This window comes from Homo sapiens, chromosome 12 (genome assembly GCF_000001405.40).
Source record: "Homo sapiens chromosome 12, GRCh38.p14 Primary Assembly".
Classification (NCBI taxonomy): Eukaryota; Metazoa; Chordata; class Mammalia; order Primates; family Hominidae; genus Homo; species Homo sapiens.
In genome coordinates, this window is record NC_000012.12 from 15697346 (window position 1) to 15717501 (window position 20156).

Consider the following 20156-nt stretch of genomic DNA (forward strand, 5'->3'; position numbering starts at 1 on the left):
TACAAACTGCCAATAGCAGTGACAGCAGGAAGAGGAAGAGGCAGAACAGCAGCAGCAGCGGCAATGGCTCACATCTAGAAAACACGGCATAGCAGGCACTGCTTTACATGTGTCATTTTCTTTTAATTGTCACAACTGCCTCATGAAGTAGGAACAATTACCATTCCCACTTTACAGATGAATAAGCTAGGTACAGAGTTTAATAACATGTTCACTGTCAAAGAGGTAATTAATAGTAGATGTGGGATAAAATTCAACCACTTTGCCACATAGAGGAAAATAATGGCTAGAGTTTTTTACCCAAAAATCACATGCTCACATGACCTCTAAAAAGAACTACATGGATTTTTTTCTTCTTTTGCCAAAAATTACAGATGATAGTCCTACATCTGTATAAAAAAGAACTGATAATCTAGCTTTACTGATAAGTAAGAAAAAAAGGGAACTGGATTCTGAAAGTTTAGGGAGTCCAAGCAGTAGATGATCAGGATTATTAGAAATAGGATCAATATAAAGGCCAAGATAGTACCAGAATAAAGACAATGGACACTAAAGTGACAAAAGAATCACCAAATTCCAAAAGAGCATGGCATCACCTTGACTTTGTTCCATGAAGTTCATGTCTATTACAGAAATTTCTCTATGGGAACATATTTCCAGTTGTATAAAAGCTATCAATAAAACTAGAATTGACACTCTTATATCCAACTTTGAGGCAACATATGTTTTACAAAGCATGGGGACATATGAATGATTATGAAAGAAATATGTATTTTAAAAGGCTTTCTGAAACTGTTTAATAAAGGAAAAATGGAAAAACTCTACAATTTTCTAAAATATTTTATAAAAAATTATGCCTGTGAATATTTTATTACTTGGCCAAATGGAGATGTTTATCTCAAATCTTCTTATAAGAAAAGACAGAATAAAACAATGTTCTAAAAGTAATTTTAAAATCTTACTAATAAATATTTTAACCAAGTAAGTTAAAACAGAAAAAATTCAGCAGCTCTAGCTTCTAACGAGAACTACTCAAGGAAAAGAACAAGCAGTGTCAACTAGACTCCCCAACCCCCGCTCTTTAAGTTAACCTCATCCACACAGTAAACAGACATCTCTCTCCTCCAGCCTCTCCATCTTGACCTCTCTTATTGCCAGCCAACTTCCTTATTTTCCTCAAATGGAGTGGAAAAATAAATCTTCATCCTCTTTAAAAAAAAAAAAAAAATTTAGCTGCTAAGAAGCCCCAGGAATAGCACGTACCGGCACATAGTAGCACATTCAAACTATTTAGCTGGGGAAAACATGATGACTTTCCCTGCCCTCCTAAGAACTGAGCTGTTCAATTCCAGATCCTAACAAAGAAATTTTTCCAGGATGCCAGTTTGAAATTTAGGAGATAGGAGATTCAGTGTTTACAAGAATGGTGTTTAATCTCAACTGCCTCTGTTGAAACCTCAGGCAAGGTCAGTTTTGCCAAGAGCCACATGACTGCTTCCCCATTATGAAGGAAATAGAATAAAACAATGTAGCATATTCTTGTAATTGTTGTATATGTCAAGAATGAAAATCAAAGATTCCAACTAATCAAGGCCCAGATGCTTCAGATTTGAAAAAATGTAAATGACCATCAATCTACTAATATAAATGGGCAAAGGACAGATGATCCACAGCATGGCTCACCACAACCTACAAATGATCCCTCCACCGATGTGACTGCCCCTGCAAACCTTACAGAAAACTGCTCCCCAAGAGGAGGAGAGCAAGCTTACCCACAAGGCAGTTTCCTAGAGTCCAAAGACCTATTCCTAAAAGAAAATAATACTTCTGTTCAGAAGAAAAATACCTTTGAGTTGCTTTTTCACAGCTATTGGAAATAATAAAAACTTACTGAGTATGTCCCAGAGCTTTTATTGTGGTATTTTGCCATAGTGAAAAGAAAATAGTATGAAGATGAGCAGCCCTAAGTGTAAATCCTGACTAACATCTCTCTGTGACCTTAGACAAGTCATTATCCTATCTCAGCTTCGGTTTACTCACCTGTAAAATGAGAATGATTGTTATGAGGATTATATGCAAAAGCACACACAGATCATTTGACATCTATATCTCTCAGTTCCTTTATTTTCCTGCAGGATCATATATTTAAGAGAAATAGAGAAGTTTTCTTTAAATACTAGTTATAAAATGAAATTCACTAAAAACCAGTTGTATTCAACCAATTACAACTCAAGAGAAATATATGACAATTAAACAATGTTACCAACTATGTAGTCACACATACAACTTTAGTGTACCATTCGAGGCTCGACCATAATTTTGGCTTACATAATTTTTCCAGTAATCCATATTCTCTCAAATACTCCTACATATAAACCCTCATTCCCACCACTGTCCTGAGCATATCTTGACTGACCCAACTTTAAGTGTCTATTCTTACCCTAAATGCCCTTTCCACTACTTTATACTTCCCATCTAGCAATTTCTCAATTCCTCAATTCCCACCCCTTTTTAAAAGTCTTCCCTTAGGCCAGGTGCGGTGGCTCACGCCTGTAATGCCAGCACTTTGGGAGGCTAAAGTGGGCAGATCATGAGGTCAGGAGTTCAAGACCAGCCTGGCCAACATGGTGAAACCCCATCTCTACTAAAAACACAAACATTAGCCGGACGTGGTGCTACACAACGTGTAGTCGTAGCTACTCTGGAGGCTGAGGCACAAGAATTGTTTGAACACAGGAGGCGGAAGTTGCAGTGAGCTGAGATCATGCCTCTGCACTGCAGCCTGGGGGACAGAATGAGACTCCATCTCAAAAACAACAACAACAAAAAAAGAAACTCTTCCCTAACCAACTCAACGTTAACAATATCTAGTCAATTGGCAATTATTTATCATGTTTAATGTTTTTTAATGTGGTTATGAAGAACCACTCTAACGTATTCTTTTCTATCTTCTAAACAATTCTGAGGTGTGGCAAACTAGTACAGTCTTTTGCAAAATAATCCCTGAACTGAAATTGTGCTATAAAGAGTTATATGTGTGGGCTAAAAGAGAAGTCATAGAATTCTAATGATTAAAGTGTATATTATCACCAATATAAATTCCTCTAAAATTTACATAACTGGTCACCTGACTCCACTCCTTTCTGAAGCAAAATTGGTGTGAAAACAGAAACTAATTTAGAAGTATAGAATTAAATTGAAAATTTAAAAAGAAATTTATTCCACAGAATTTCTACAGTCACAATTAGATAAAAGAGCCTCAATGCCAACTGAGCAGAAAAACCAATGAAGGCACTGCTCTTAGTGTAGCCATGTATCAATGATGATTTTAACATGTGAAAAGCAGAACTTTTGGTAAAAGCATGCCTATTTATATCAAGGAGGTTCAAAACTGACTCAGAGGAAAAAGTACTATGCTCTGACTCACCAAGACCACTTCCTGAAACACCCAATGTTTTTCTTGGAAGGAAGTCCATACAAGTGCCATTTCTTTCAAACACTGATTAGACAAAATTGAAGTCTATCACAAAATAGACAAAGGACATATATTTTCTAAACCCAGCCAGGTTTCAAAGTAAAGAACATTTTCATAAACATACGGTCAGGAGAAAGGAGACTTTAAAAATAGTCAAAAATTGGTAATGTAAGGTATATTATAAAGAATAAACTACTACCTACCTGTGTCCATCTTTATACCATAGTCTCTTAATGATAAACAACCTTATGACTTCAATCTGCTAAATTAACTAATATCTTTGGCTTCAAAATAGTCACTTTTTTAAAAGGTAATTCTTTTCTCTCTCTGAATCAACTGTGTCACCAATATTTAATAATAATTTACAAAAACAATAACACTTATTAAATCCATATATGTGTCAAACGTTGTTGTAAGTTCTTTGCATGCATTAATTCAATTGATAAGCATAACTCTAAAAGGCAGGTACTACTTTTATCTCTAGTTTACAGATGAGGAAACTGGGGCACAGAAGTGCCTTGCTCAGTATCACAGTTAGTACATGGTAAAGCCTCAGACACAGGCAGACCAACACAAAAGCCCAAACTCAGTTTCTATGCTATGTCTGTATGTGTGACTCATCCCCCTTTAGAATACTTGATAGTAACTTAAACACACTTAAGCATACACACACACACAATTACACATATACAGATATGTATTAACATTTCACATCTACATAATCCATGCCTGGATTCAGGTATGTCCTTCTCATCCATTAGTTTAAAATTTTTAATGTAACTAATTATATCAATAGGACTTTAGTACAAATAATACCAAGTCTTCAATCTGAAAGAACAACTACTTGGATAAGCTTTGAAACATTACACTGTCCAGATACATTTATGTCAATCTCACTTGTTTTTTAGTTTCGAAACATTGGAAATATCTCACAGACCTATAAAAACACCAAAATGATACTGCCCTGGACACGGCCCTTAGGGGAAGAAAAATAACATAACATTTCCTTCTTCAAAATAACAAGCAATTAAATGGGATCTTGCTGTTTGTTTCCTCTTGAGTAATCTAGACTAAAAAGAGTTCAAACATCTGACTCTTACAATATTTTGCTTTCAGTAGAAAGACATCCTTTTAGATGTCAAGTCAGCTAATAAGTATTCACTCATATTTATAACTGGTTCATGGAAACTAGTTTAAATATTAAATGACTACACATGTGAAAAAGAAATTCTTAAGTAGTTTGTGAGTCAGGCTAAGCACCATGAGATAAACCACATTTCTCTGCCGTGCAGATTATTAGGAGGCAGTATAAGAAGAACAAATTTATTCCAAAAGGGCAAAGTGCTTAGAGCAGCAGCCTAAGGAAACAGAATATATTCCCCCTGTTAACACCACTCTGGAGATGCTAAAGATTCAGAGGTGCTCTTGGAAGCCTGCCTGTCCAGTGTGATTTTAGGGTTGAGAGAGTATCATCCTATTTCCTTAAAATCTATCGTTTACACAGGCGACAAGGTGAATAAAATTCTAGCACTGGAAATTAATTCATTCTTTTGAGTTAAGCATTTTCATCCATAGGAAGCACTTTTAAACTACAAACACTTCTGGGAGTAATAATGTATTATGTCATTAACATTTAAGTGTGGATTATGAGATACTTTCTCCTAGGATAAGAGGACTCTGGGGTAATGTATGAATGTCTATGAGATCAGTGTCTGGAAATCTTCATAGAGCAGCAGCAAACTACTGAAGAAAAAAAATGCATGCTTAATGTTTTTACCTATCTCTAAAACATATATCCAGTATATTAAATATGAAGAAAAAAATTGCATGCCTAATATTTTTACCTATATCCAAAACACATATCCAATACAATATATAAATATGAAGAAAAAAATTGCATGCTTAATATTTTACCTATATCCAATACATATATATCCAGTATATTAATAATAGTGAAATTATGAAAGGAATTCTAGCTTATGCACGTAATGGTTATTAAAGGTAAACATTCAATAGAGTGAGCAAAACCACATAATAAGTTCATTCGAGGCTGGGCGCGGTGGCTCAGGCCTTTAATCCCAGCACTTTGGGAGGCCGAGGTGGGTGGATCACAAGGTCAGGAGATTGAGACCATCCTGGCCAACATAGTGAAACCCCATCTCCACTAAAAATACAAAAATTAGCTGGGTGCAGTGGCGTGTGCCTGTAGTCCCAGCTACTCGGGAGGCTGAGCCACAAGAATCGCTTGAACCCAAGAGGTGGAAGTTGCAGTGAGCCAAGATCACGCCACTGCACTCCAGCCTGGTGATGGAGCGAGACTCCGTCTCAAAAAATAAATAAAAATAAAAATAAATAAAGAAAAATAAGTTCATTTGGTATTTTTTGGACATTTATGCCTACAAGGTATTGTGCTTTGCATGATGACATATAATAAACATACTTTCTCTCCTCTGGGAACATTCAGTTCAGCAAGATGGATAGATATACAAACAGATAATTACAATGCATTTTAGTAAATGTTATTACTGTATGAACAATGTACTAGGAAAGTGTCTACCTATGGAAGCTGCTTGTAGGTTTCATATAGGAAGAGACAGTAACATCAGGTCTTGAAAGACAGTGAGGAGTGCACCAGTTGGTACAGGTACAGGTAATTAGAGAACATTCCAGACATATACAAAGGATATGGAAGGACATGAATTTCAGGGAATAGTGAGATATTCAGTGTGGCTGCAATACAGAATATATGAAAAGAAGATGTGATGAAGAAAAGCTTGATGCCAGATTGTGAGGGGCCTTGTAGAGCATATAAAGGAATTTGGACTTAATCTTTTAGGAGATGGTAAGGAGTAACAATCATATTACTAATGTTTAAGAAAATAACTATGCAGGCATTCTGGAAGGCAGACTAGATCAGAGAACGAAGTTGACACTTTCAGGAAGCAAAGTTGATTATTTGAGATAATTGTATCTGTCTCTTTCATTTCTATAGGAATCTTCCCACCTGTATTCTGCTCTATGTATTTGTTTTTTTTTTTTTTTTTTTTTTTGGAAAAACTTAGACTCACCTTTGTTATTCCCCTAATGTCTCCAAACTCCGTAATTATCCAAAGAGAAACCGATATATTAATTTTAAATCTGCCCACCACTTACCTCTAAGGACAGAGACCACACTTCCTAGAATTATTAGTTACACAAGAAATCCAATGAAGCTATCTTCATCCTATTTTAGAAAGTTCATTGTAAAATTCCAAAGACTGTAAGAATAGAGGGTTTTCCTGCTGGGTTTTTTTGTTCGTTCATTTAAAATATCCCTTTAATGGTGTAGTCATTGTGGAAAACAGTATGGCAGCTCCTCAAAAAAATCAAGCATAGAATTACTATATGATCCAGCAGTTCTTCTTCTGGGTGTATACCCAAAAGAACTGAAAGTAGAGACTAGATATTTGTACACCCATGCTCATATCAACATTATTCACGAGAGCCAAAAGGTAGATGCAACCCAAGTGTTGTCCATTCACAGATGAATAAGTAAAATATCATACATCTACATAAGGGAATTATTTATCCTTTAAAAGGAAACAGACATCTCTCATACATACTACAACATGGATGAACCCTGAAGCCATTACACTAAGTAAAATAAGCCAGTCACAAAAGGACAAATACTCTATGATTCTCCTTAAATGAAGAACTTGGAATAGTCAAATTCAAAGACACAGAAAGCATAATGGTGGCTGCCAGGGGCTGTGGAAGGTGGAGAATGGGTAGTTATTGTTTTGGGGCACAGAGATTCCATTCAGGAAGATGAAAAACTCCTAGAGATGGATGGTCATGATGGCTGCACAACAATGTGAATACACTTAATGACAATAAACTATACATTTAAAGATGGTTAAGTTGGTAAATTTAATATCAACTTTATCACAATAATTAGAGAAATCTGAGGAACAAATGAACTACTGAATGTCTGTGAGCCTATCAGGTAAAGCCACCTGGTCTGTAAGGCAAAGACTAGATCTTATTGTAGCTGCCTCTGTTATGGGGATGTACTAGAAGATTAACAATTTCCTTGGCATGCGTGCGCATGCACACACACACACAAAAAACTGTCCTTAAAATCCTGTGTGTATATACACACACACATACATATACATGTGTGTATATTTTTTAAAATTTGAAGTAGGTTAACATTGTATTCTACTTTAATAAAGATCAAGAAACACAATCTCTAATTTACAAAAGCAATAAACTGAACTGCATCTTGAAGGAAAAAAAAGCTCGCTGGTCTAGTTTTATACCAACTCCTATTTTCTGGTCCAGTTCTAACATTATCTGGCAGGCACTTTTGCAAATTCCATTTCTCACTGATTCTTAATTTTTACCTTAGTCAAACAGAGTAGGACTCCTTGCTTCACCCCTACACACTGATCTCAGTCTACTGAGGAGATAAAATAAGAAAATGAATACATGACATTACTTTTAAAATATTCAATGATTTGTAATAGATATATTGTTTCATGAACACATGTGAAATCACTCAAAAAATTTTCAGTGTCTATTTTTCACTTTTTAATTGAGCTTTTAAACAATCTAATATGCATATAAGTTTGGGTAAAACATTCATTCAACAAAATAACACCCACTAGTACTCCAAGGGGTTTAAAAAAAATCTGTTCAATAAGGTGATTTCAACAAATTTTAACGGCAATTGGAGAAGAAAACATTTAGATCTTGTTTTCATAATTAACTAATCCATTATTAAATCCCATACAAAATATCAATAATTATAAAATGATGCTAATTAAAGTACTTAACACTCATTTAAAAAGCAAAATAAACACATGAATGTACCTTCCTTTTAAAAAGTTATTGACATTTTATGGCAAATCAGTTGTTGACTGCAATAGTTAGAATACCCTCTTGGAAATGAGCCCAGTGACATTGTTTTCCTCACTGTTCAAAACTTCCAACTCTTAGCAAACACTAACCTCAACGGCTAGCCAATATTACCCTTTTCGTAAGGAAAAACAGACTTATGATATCCAGTAGAAAGACATTAAAACCCTCAATGTTTGATATCATTAACTAAAGTTCACTAAAGTTTAAGCTTATGTAAAACATACACAAGTATCATTATTAAATTCTTGTACAATCAGAGGCACATGTGTTGCTGCTACCACCTATCAGCTATTTTTTTTTTAACTCAAAGAAGGCTAACATTCAAGAATGACCCTGAATCTATTTTCTTTCCTTCTGTCTCCAAATCCCAGTCTTCTCCTCACCTAAGGTTACTCTCTCTAATTCTGCAAACCAGTATGGTAAACATCTTGTAAAATGGTCCCTCCCATTGAGACAGCTAAGTGGGAGGGGATCCCTGGCAAAGCTCCTGCCGGCCTGTGCACTGGGGTGGAGCCTGAGCAAGTTTGCACCTTTGCAGAGGGGAGGAGCCTGGCCTTGCCTTTTCCTGCGTGGAACCTGGGATTCAAAAGGCAAGGCGGGAAGCACTGCAGCATTGACAATGCCAAGTTCTTCCTTCCTCGAGGCCTATCACACTTGTCTAGAATAATTATCTTTTATATCTTTGCCTATCTAAATCTTGTATCTCAGCTTAAATGGCCCCTTCTTGGGAAACCATTCCCTGACTCCCAATCTATCCTAGATTTCTACATTACATGTTTTCACAGCACTCTGAAATTCTCTTCATAAATCTTTACTGTTAGACATTTGGGCCAATATTTGCTTAATATCTGCATTTCAAAAATAAAGTACTAGCTGGTATACTTTCTATTGAAGCAAAACACACTTTTGTATTTTGCATTTTCTTTCAAAAACATCTTGAATCTCATCTTTCTTTTAGGTGAATATTACATTTTTAATATGAGACTAGAATTTTCTGTTCTTTATATTTTATGTTTTTTTTTACAACTTATCCAAAGATATTCTTCCTTGGGCAAATTTTGTAATAAAATGACACAATTCTCCAACCTACTCTATTGTCTATGTGTACAAGTTTTTTTTCTATTTTACATACTAACTAAATTTATACAAATGCCCATATTTGATATCTAGTTAGCAAGCCAGACAAGCTTACATTTCAGTCCTTATTAAATGTAAAACTTTAGGCTTACTTAGCCTCTATGAGCCTAGTTTCTTCATTTGTAAAGTGGTTATAGTATCTCTCAAGGTTAAGAACAATCGAAGTATGCAAAACCCCTATAGCAAAAGAGCAGGCTAAATACATGACAGTTCTTTCCTCCATGTGGGAAAAAGGCACATGTTTGAAAATGTAGCCCCATGAAATATTACACTTTACAGTACCTAATCCAATTTCCTAAAAGGGAACAAGTCTAACTTTTTTCTTCATGGTATGTATTTCAGGTCAGGGGTTGACAAACTTTCGGTAAAGAGCCAGGTTATAAATATTTTAGGCTTTGTGGGCCACATACAGTCTCTGTCAATATTCTTCATTTTTGTTTTTAATAACCTACCAAAAATGTAAAAAGCATTCTCAGCTTGTAGAAAGAAAACAGCCCAATGGCTAGAGTTTGCTGACCCTCTGCTTTGAGTTCATCATTACTCATCGATTCTACCCTTACTTTTCCTATTACTTCACCTTAATCAATACCCAACTGAACAACTACTCTCCTTACTATTTATTAAGCTTTCAGTATAACAAACACTAATCAAGTACTTGCTTATCTGTAAGGGCCTGTAAGGTAACTCACTACCTTAAAAAAAAAAAAAATCACATGCTACAAAACAAATACAAATAAATCCTTCCGAAGTCTTCCTCTGGTATCGCCTTGCTCTTCCCTCTGATTTCTGAGCGTATTACTACTAGTGATTTATGCTCATGATCAGATTTCTCTTACCACAATCTTGTAATGAAGTTGGTGGTTTTAATTCCTTTGTAAGAATTTGATTAGGCTTTATGTACCACAGAGTTACAAGTCCCCTAGTGTTCATTTTTCATTAGACTCTCTCCTTACAATTCTGAAGTACTATTATAACTCACCTTCTTTTGTTCCCCAACTTCCAACACAATCATTTCATCCTCTTTTTGTAGTTCAGTTCACCTCCCTATCTCTAATTCTCTAATTGTTTTCTTCCCCTTTTATGTATAAGCCCCAGGAAAAAAATTCTGATTTAGGTATGAGAATGAGTTCCTGTTATTGCTCTGCCTATGATGATCTGTGCATTCTTACCCTGAGTAGCGTTGTTTCCTCATCTATCATAGGGATCGAAACAGCCTATGATGCCAATCAGAGACAGTTATTAAATGCATATGAAATAACACAAGTGAAAGCTACTTATCTGTAATCTACAAAGTAAGAGAACACTAAGATCTAAATCAGACTCGATTCAAGAATTGGCTCTGCCATTTATGAGTTATTGACCATGGGCAAGTTAATTAACCCCTCTAAGCCTCACTTTCCTCATCTGTAAAGACAGTAATAATACCTACTGTATCAGGTTTTGTGAGAATTCCATAACATAATCCATGTTAAGCACTTATCATAGTGCTTAGCACATAGTTAAGGCTCAAAAATGTTAACATAATTGTTATTTGTGGGAAAGAAATATTTCTATTCCAGGCAGCCACAAGCCTTGCATGTAAATTATTGGGAAGTGGTGCAAGATGGGTTATCTGAAATTGGAGGGGAAATTATAATACAAAATATGAATGAATATGGCTCATAACATGTGGCAAAGTGAGACAGCCAGGCAATGTCTGAGATGTGTGCATGTACACTTTGTGTAGCCTAGGCAGCTCATTTTAGTTGGGTGAAATTTTCTGTGCACGCCTACTATTTCTCAGGTGAAATCACGCATAAGCAAAAGTGAAATTTGCATTATGCTCAAAGTGTTGCCTAATATCAATCATGAAAGAATAAAAACTCCCATTTTTCAAAACAATCATTACAGCAGAATTGACTGTATTTATTCTCACACTATGAACTCACAGAAAATGTTATCTGAGTTAGAAATGTAGTCACTATCTACAAAGCCTGTGTTTCTCTTCAATTTCCTATCAGTCCAAAGTCTTTCCCTAGTAAGAGCTGTCCTTTGCCTGTCAGTATTGAGCCACTATGCAACATGATTTAAAACATTTCTTAGCTGCAGCCTTAATTGTTTCATCAGCTTTCCCTGCTGGGGACAGCCTGATTCAGAGAGCCATGCCACACTTGTTTAGATTTCCAGTTGATCCCCTGTCCCCAAATGTCCATTCCAACAAAGGAGTAAAATGTCTTGTAATCAATAACACTGTCATATCACTTCATTTTTTTCAGTAACCAAATATTTATAATAAGCATGTACTGAATGCAAGGCAACCTAGAAGAAACAAGACAAAACCACCTCTAACCCATCATAGTAAGAGATAGACTTTAAGTAATTCAATCAGTTAAACTCAGTCATTAGAAAGGAAGTAAAATATAACACATGTAAAAATAAATATAACAGAAGATGGAACACAAAACACTGGTATAAAATGCAGAAAAAAGAAGGTGAAACCAAGAAAAATTTAATGGCAGTGGTCAGTAAACCTTAAGGATGAGGTAAATTTTGAATATGAGGGAGAGACTTTCTAATTACACCACGTGTCAAGAAAAAAAGGCAGGAAATGGAAACTGTAAAGCATAAAGAAGAAGCTTAAGCCATACATTAAGATACACGACTCAAAAGATAAGTTACACACTGGACATTGAATTTCATATAATGGGAAATGGAAACTCTACTGACAATTTTTAGCCAGAAGACTGTAGCATGAATTATGAATGGGCAAAGGGAGCCCAATTGGCTTTTAGAATCCAGGCTTTGAATAAGTTAAGAGAATTGAAAGAGTCTTTGGAATGCCAGGCCAGAGCAACGGGAGGGCTTTCCCCACCCACAATCCCAGGCTTTGTGTCCAAGATTGATATTCACGGCTCTGCTTAACGCAGTGGTCCCCAGCCTTTTTGGCACCAGGGACTGGTTTCATGGAAGACAATTTTTCCAAGGCAGGAGTAGGCGGGATGGATCAGAATGAAACTGTTCCACCTCAGATCATCAGGCATTAGTTAGATTGTCATAAGGAACACGTAACCTAGATCCCTCACATGTGCAGTTCACAATGGGGTTCGACTCCTATGAGAATCTAATGATGTTGCTGATCTGACAGGAGGCAGAGCTCAGGCAGTGATGCTTGCTGGCCTACTGCTCACCTTCTGCTGTGCGGCCCAGTTCCTAAAAGGCTGCCAACCGGTACTGAACCATGGCCCAGGGGTTGGGGGACCCCTGGCTTAAGGGATACTCACTATGTCATTTGGTCTGGCCAACTGTATAAATGGTGAAATAAAGAAAAATTACTTGCATAATGAGGAAAGGCATTTTTTTAGAAACAAGGAAGATAAAGAATCCAATGGAATCTAATACTAGAGTAATAATGAGTTGTCAGAGAGTTGTTACCAGAGCATTAAATCTAGTGATCAGAATAATATAATTGGCAAAGTTAAATAATATTGCTCTAAATTACATCTAAATATGACACAAAGAATTTTTAATAATCAAGAAAATGCACACAAATGTTCCTAAAACCAAGCTCTTGAACAAATGTTGATACAAAATCTAAGACAAGCTTAAGAAACTCACATTTCATTCAGCTCAGATCTTACATTACCAAGTACAGAGAGACAATATTTCACAAATTGCTTTTGCATTTTAGAAAATATATTGAGCATTAAAACTACCACAAGTTTTTTCTAATCAAATTAACAAACCTAGTTAATATATTTTGTACACACGATTCTGTATAAAAATGCCACAAATTTAACCGACGTATAATTTCTTCATGTAGCTGGAAAGTCAATTTTTAAGTGCTTACATGTCAAATTAAACAAGTCAAAACAAATACACAAACAAACTCTAAAAAAAAGGAAATTTTAAAATACTGGATTGTTTACATTAGAAATATCCTATAAATAAATGATCAAAAAGACTACATGATAACCTACCTTATTATATTCTCTTCAAAAAATATTTATACAATTCAACTACACTATTATTTAAAAGGCTAGAATTTTTTCTAAGACAGTCTCACTCTGTCGCCCTTGCTGGAGTGCAATGGCACAATCACAGCTCATGGCAGTCTCAGTCTCCTGGGATCAAGCCATCCTCCCTAACTTAGTCTCTTGAGTAGCTGGGACTACAGGCATGCACCACCATGCCAGGCTTATTTATTTATTTATTTATTTATTTATTTATTTATTTATTTATTTATTTTGGTAGAGACAAGGTCTCACTATGATGCCCAGGCTGGCCTTGAACTCATGGGCTCAAGCAATCCTCCTGCCTCAGTCTCCCAAAGTGCTGGGATTACAGGCATAAGTTACAGAACCTGGCCAAAAGTCTAAAGTGTAATGAGTTCATTTTTGTCACCTTAAAACTCCAAGGTTCATACCTACCTTGACGATTTAATGACAAATGACATCACTGAAAAGTAAACTACAAAGGAGACTTCTCTATACAATTTATGTCAGAACTATTTACATAGAAATGAGACTAAGCAGCGTATCTCCTCCATAGTCATTTCCTCTTATATACAATTTGCTTAAGTTAAACTGAAAAAATTTGTTTCCAAGTCTAGTTGCTGAAAAACGGAAACCTCTTTTATAACTCAAGCTACTGCAGACACAAGGGTATCTTACTAAAGGTGGGGACAGGTGGATCAGGGAACAAAATATTTTACATACCATTCCAAGAACATATATGGAGATTTACACTCCACATTAATACTGCCATTTGCCTTAGAGTTTGGCCACTAAAGCTGACCAAAGCTTTATAGCAAGGGTAAGAATATACCAGGCCATAAACATCTTGAGGAACTTCACCTATTTATGCTACAAAAAAGCTGTATACAATATTTCTATGGGTAGTTAAAATTTGTGTAAATTGATAATGCTCTTTACAGTATATAAGGGTCTTAAGAAATAATAGTGACATTACAAGAAAATCAACACATCCAAGAATGTATTTCAAAAAAGGATCAAAACAGCCATAACCATGGCACCTAAACTCAAGAACCTACCACATTTCCCAAGACCAAAACAGTAACTTAATCAGTTATTTATTTTTGCTCTCTATCTAGTCTGTGTTACAATGTTATTAGCTCTTATTTGTTTTTAAATAGCCTTGCACTTAATTATTAGTGACAGAATAATAACAAAAAAGTTCCTTCTGAGTAAGATTAAATGTAATAAATCAATAAGAACTACTTATAGATCTTTATATATTATGAATTACATGTTTGTCACTAACTCAAGTTTGATATTTAAAACATCATAATTATAAAATTGAATATTTTGAAAGAGTTGTTTCTTAAAAGCTTCCATTAATTGACTATTTAAACATTTACAAGTTCCATTAATATACATGGGCTTTAAAAAAAAAAACTTTAAATACACATATTCAACTGTATTTTAGGTCCCAAGCAAAATGTTTACACAGAAATTTGGCAGTGTTAAATCTGTGGACTCAAAGCCAAGAACAACCTAAGAAGTCTAAACCTGGTTAATAAGCAAATTTTCATAGTACAACTAACATTGTGTAAACAATCCAAAGCAGTTAATATTTATAAGATAATCAATGTTTTGCATATAAGGTTAAGTTCAAAGTAATTTTTTAAACATTTCGTATATTATGCCCATGGATTCCCAATCTGTAATAGTCAACAGACCTCTTCTTAGCTATAATATGAGGGGAAAATTATTCTCTTAAATACCATGACCTAAAGGAAAGAAATCCTTTGAATCTCCACCTCTGTAAGCCAGAAGACAGGAGGCAAGACCCTGAGGAGACTGGGTTACCACTAATTTCACCAAGTTCAGAATCCACTTGGAATACTAAATGGGAAGTTAAAAAGCAATCAAAGGGCTTACTTGGACTAAAAGTATTGCTACATGTTTCAAGGTCTACAAATACCCTTTATAATAATTACGCCTTTGAGAGCCCTCCTTAGCAAAGAAAATATTAACAAATTCAAACTTACCTACCCACACAGTTCAGGAAATACTCCTCTAAGCAATCGTCCAGGCAATATTGAGAGGCCATTCCACTCAGTTTACTTATGTGCCAAGTGACCTTTGGCACAACGTCAGAAAGGGTGGGACTCTAAGCGTCAGTTTCGGCATTGTACTGTACCAAACAAAATTTCTGATTTGGTTTCTCTAGGGCGTTAACTAAGATTTCCTCCTCTTGTTAAGTAAGTAAACACAGCTACCACTACACTTCCAACTCTTGCCTAAGATGATTTTTTTTTTAAGTTTTAAATGGTGAAAATAATACTGGCTAGCATTGACTGAAAGCTTACTGTGTGGTCTAAATTAACGCTATATACACAGACACCATTATTACTCCCATTTTAGAGAGGTAGAATCTGAGAAACGGTAGTTAATAAGTAACTTACGGGAATTCCAGGTACAGAAATATGGCCAACTGAGCTCATGAAGACTTCCCACTACAGACACTAAGAAAAGAAGAAAATAAGTGTAACAAAATTAAATACATAGCTTTACTTGCAATAAAGATAATTCCCTGATGCTAAACCAAAGCCAGAACTGATGGCCAAAATAGTAAGCACAAAAGCATACACTGTCAGCTGTGGCCAACACTGGAGCTATGGGGATAATCACTGGAGTCTCTTCAGCACTTAAGTATAGATTGAAATTGGTAACAAGATGCCTCTTGAAGGAGAAAGAACAGAAGAAAGTGCTCCCTCAAGAGAGAAAGCACTCTGCTGGATTTCCAGCCCCATTAAACCTTCACAACTCTAAAGCAGTCCTGATACTTATGCAGGGACAGAAGGGGAGGCCCTGGGCACACGAGGTATAAAGTTGGTACTGAGATTCTTCCAGAAAACCAGGGCTGTCTTCAAAGGTCTATCCTCATAGTTAAAAAATGGTGTCGGGGAGGAGAAATTCACTCATAGTCATATTAAGACTTAAGAGAGCTTGTCTCTGAGAATCTGGGTGAAGAGGACAGGGGAAATGCTATAAATGCTATAAGAAATTAAAATCCTAAACCTATGACACAACAGTTTTGAAATGTGAATCTTATTTGTATGAGAATCTCCTAGGTAAAAAAATTAAGAATCTCCAATCTAAGGAATTAGATCCTGGGCCAGTGAAATCTGTAAAGTATCTAGAAGAAACAAACACAAAACTATTTTAAAGTGATGAGAGGTAAACAAGGCCCCACGGGATTTCTTTGGGTAGAAAAACCAAACCAAAACAAAACAAAACAAAAAACAATCCCCAATGAAGATGAGCTTATAAATTTAGAGATTACAAAATATGGAGAAAATGATTTACTGTGATTATTAACAAATATGCCAAACAGAAAATTGAGTGCTCAACTGATTTTTAATATGAAGACACCAAAAAAGTATATTTAAATTATTAAAGAAATGGAGAGAGAAAAAAGAGCCTATAAAGAACATAAAACTAAAAAATCTGTATGTTTTATAAAACCAAATTATATTTGAATAAAGATATGGCACAGGCTGGGTACAGTGGCTCACACCTGTAATCCCAGCTCTTTGATAGGCCACGGGTGGGAGGATCCCTTGAGTCCAGGAAGTCAAGAGCAGCCTGGGCAACATACCAAGACCCCATCTCCACAAAAAATTCAGCAATCAGCCAAGCATGGTGGTACACACCAGCAGTCCTAGATGCTCATGAGGCTGAGACAGGAGAACTGCTTGAGCCCAGGAGTTTGAGCCCAGGAGTGAGCTATGATCACGCCACTGTATTCCAGCCTGTGTGACTGAGCAGGACCCATCTCTTTAACCCATTTCTCACTTAGAATAAAAAAGTGCTGCTTGTTGCCAGTGCAGTATTCTTGGGGCAAATGGGAAATGGGTAAAAAACAAAAATACATTCTCTGTATAGTGCACTCAGAGTTTTCATCAGGTTTCTATAACTTTAAAAGTGAAAAGCATCACTATAAATAGAATTTTTAAAATGTATTTAGAAAAGCAATAGTCAATGTCAGAAGTCAATTGCCTGGCAGAACCTATTCTACATCCACTTTTGTTCTCTACCATCTCTCAAGCTCCTGACCACTGTATGCTGCAACTCCTTATTCCTGAAAATTCTGACCCATCCCCTGGGCCATTCCTTCCCATCTCCAGCACCCCTGCAAAAAAGATTGAATGGAAACTGTGACATGCCACCCACATCTCCTTTCAGGACTGAAGGACTGATTCCCCAACTGCTGTGGTGCTGCCTGCAGACAACCTTCAACTATCAGCTCTTTCAGGATGGCCTCACTTCACCCAGTATCACACTCCCTTCCCAGGGAAGCCCACATCCAAAGATTGGTTGACATGTGGAAGACAAAGCCTTGGTCCCCTTTCTCCAACTGGGGACAAGGGTGAGGTGGCCTCTCAGCTTTGAAGCACCCCACAGGGTCAGATTTTATTTGAGACTACATGGCAGCCCAACATCCCCCTTGGCCCAACAGTGTTTCCTTCCTTCCCTTCGTCCACAGGGGCTGATCCCAAGAGCGCTTTCTTTTTTTTTTTCTTTACTTTTCTTTTTTTTTTTTTTTTGAGATGGAGTTTCACTCTGCCGCCCAGGCTGGAGTGTGCAGTGGCACAATCTTGGCTCACTGCAGCTTCCGCCTACTGGGTTCAAGTGATTCTCCTCCCGAATAGCTGGGACTACTGGTGTGCGCCACTACGCCTGGCTAATTTTTTGTGTTTTTAATAGAGATGGGGTTTCACCATGTTGACCAGGCTGGTCTCGAAATCTTGACCTCAGGTGATCTGCCGGCCTCCCAAAGTGCCCAGCTAATTTTTTGTGTTTTTAATAGAGACAGGGTTTCACCATGTTGACCAGGCTGGTCTCGAAATCCTGACCTCAGGTGATCTGCTGGCCTCGGCCTCCCAAAGTGCTGGGATTACAGGCGTGAGCCACCATGCCTGGCCCCCAAGAACACTTTCTAATAAACTTTCCCGAACACTAATTTCCATCTCAAAATCTGCTTTCTGGGGAACCCAAACTGCAACAGAAGGACATTAGGGAAAAAAAAAAACACGGCAGGACACAGAAACTGAAGGGAGTGAGAAGAGGATAATAATATTAAGTCTTGAAACCAATGGAGAGAACAGCAGAAAGTACTAATATAATTCCTCGATGAGAAAATCAGTATTAAAAGTAGCAAGAAGAAAACCCTTCAAAACGAAGAATATAATCAAAATAAACACTATAATCATAAAATTCCAACCCAACATTTCAAAGTATCACTAAACTTGAGAGCTGAAAGAAATCTGAGAGAGTATCCCAATTCCAATCCCTGTCATTTTTAAGATACTGTCTCTTAAAAATGGTCCATAGGTCTGCCAAATGCCAAAAAATGTTGCTGCTTGGAAACAGACAGTTTCCTAATAGTAAGTTAACAGGTACAGTTAATACCCTGCTGTTAAACAAAATTCTGATATACCTTTGGCTCCTGAATTATCTATCAGTAAAGATGATAATGAAGTCTTATGAAAGGCTAATCTGGCACAGACTGATATATGACAAATCATTGTCCAAATATTAAAAAAATGGCATGGACTGAAACCATCCATAGTCATTCATATCCATACACAGGATATCAATGATAGTGGAACAATTCTAAGCAAAGCTCATGGGTATTTGCTGATTCCTTCAGTTTTCTATGATAGGGCAGTTTACCAGAAGTAGTCACAGGAAATATTATATATTTCGAATGTGACAGATTTGGTTACTGCACTTTTTTCCAAAGCTCTTGAAGCTGGAAATTGCACACACACACATCTTTACTGGTAACCTTGCCCTACATTCCCATACTTTGTAACTACAAATATAGAGGCAGACAAAATAGGCTGTAACATAATCTGTAAGCTAAGATCATCAGATCCAAAATGATGTGAGGTCACTTACATAAATTGTTAGGACAACCAAGCAGAATCGATCAACAATGTCACAATCCATTCATCTTGGAAGTATAAGCAAAATTTCACTTTCAGTTCCTGTACTGTTCAACCCCAATTCCTCATCGGTCCTTCATTCCTTCTTCTTATAAGATCCACTATCTGCTTTGTCTTCTCTAAACCAATCCTTCTCCTAACTTTAATACCTTTTTCAGTGAGAGTAAGAAACCCAAAAGAAGTTTCTAAAGAAATACTCTAAACTACATATTATCAAATTTCAATTACATACATGCTAAGTTAGTTAAATTTGTATGGATACAATGATCAATCAAATGCTTTAACAATTTACCTGGAGAGGGACAGGAGATGCAATATGACTTATCTTTGGGAGAATCATATCTAACTACAATTATAGTCATGCAAAAGGACAAACATGCCTGGCATGTAAATGATGGGAATTTGTTAAAACATTCAATGAGTCAGTATGGGTTGAAGCTATTGTTTGGCTGTAGAGCTAGGATTAAAGGTAGAAAAAACAAAAAAAGGGAGCCAGGCACAGTGGTTCACACCTGTAATCCTAGCACTTTGGGAGGCCGAGGCAAGTGGATCATCTGAGGTCAGGAGTTCAAGACCAGCCTGGGCAACATGGTGAAACCCCATCTCTACTAAAAATACAAAAATTAGCTGGGCGCGGTGGCACGTGCCTGTAATCCCAGCTACTTGGGAGGCTGAGGCAGCAGAATT

At 36.5% G+C, this 20156-nt stretch overlaps 1 protein-coding gene across 20 annotated transcripts in view; it reads right to left on the reverse strand.

Moving 5' to 3' along the window:
• Positions 1-20156, reverse strand: part of EPS8 (EGFR pathway substrate 8, signaling adaptor) — a 169255-nt gene that overhangs the window by 77212 nt on the left and 71887 nt on the right. For 2 of the 20 annotated variants that reach the window (NM_001413832.1, XM_047428494.1), the window contains exon 2: positions 15921-15980. The exons of 13 other annotated variants lie outside the window; for them this stretch is intronic. Coding sequence is in view for 1 of the 7 variants with exons in the window: in XM_047428494.1 (XP_047284450.1) it covers positions 15921-15959 (39 nt within the window). In the remaining 6 variants the exon portion in view is untranslated. Of the gene's footprint in view, positions 1-7860; positions 15556-15920; positions 15981-20156 lie in introns of those variants that run through there. 5 more of the 20 variants (NM_001413834.1, XM_047428496.1, XM_047428497.1 and 2 more) reach the window with 4 other exon arrangements.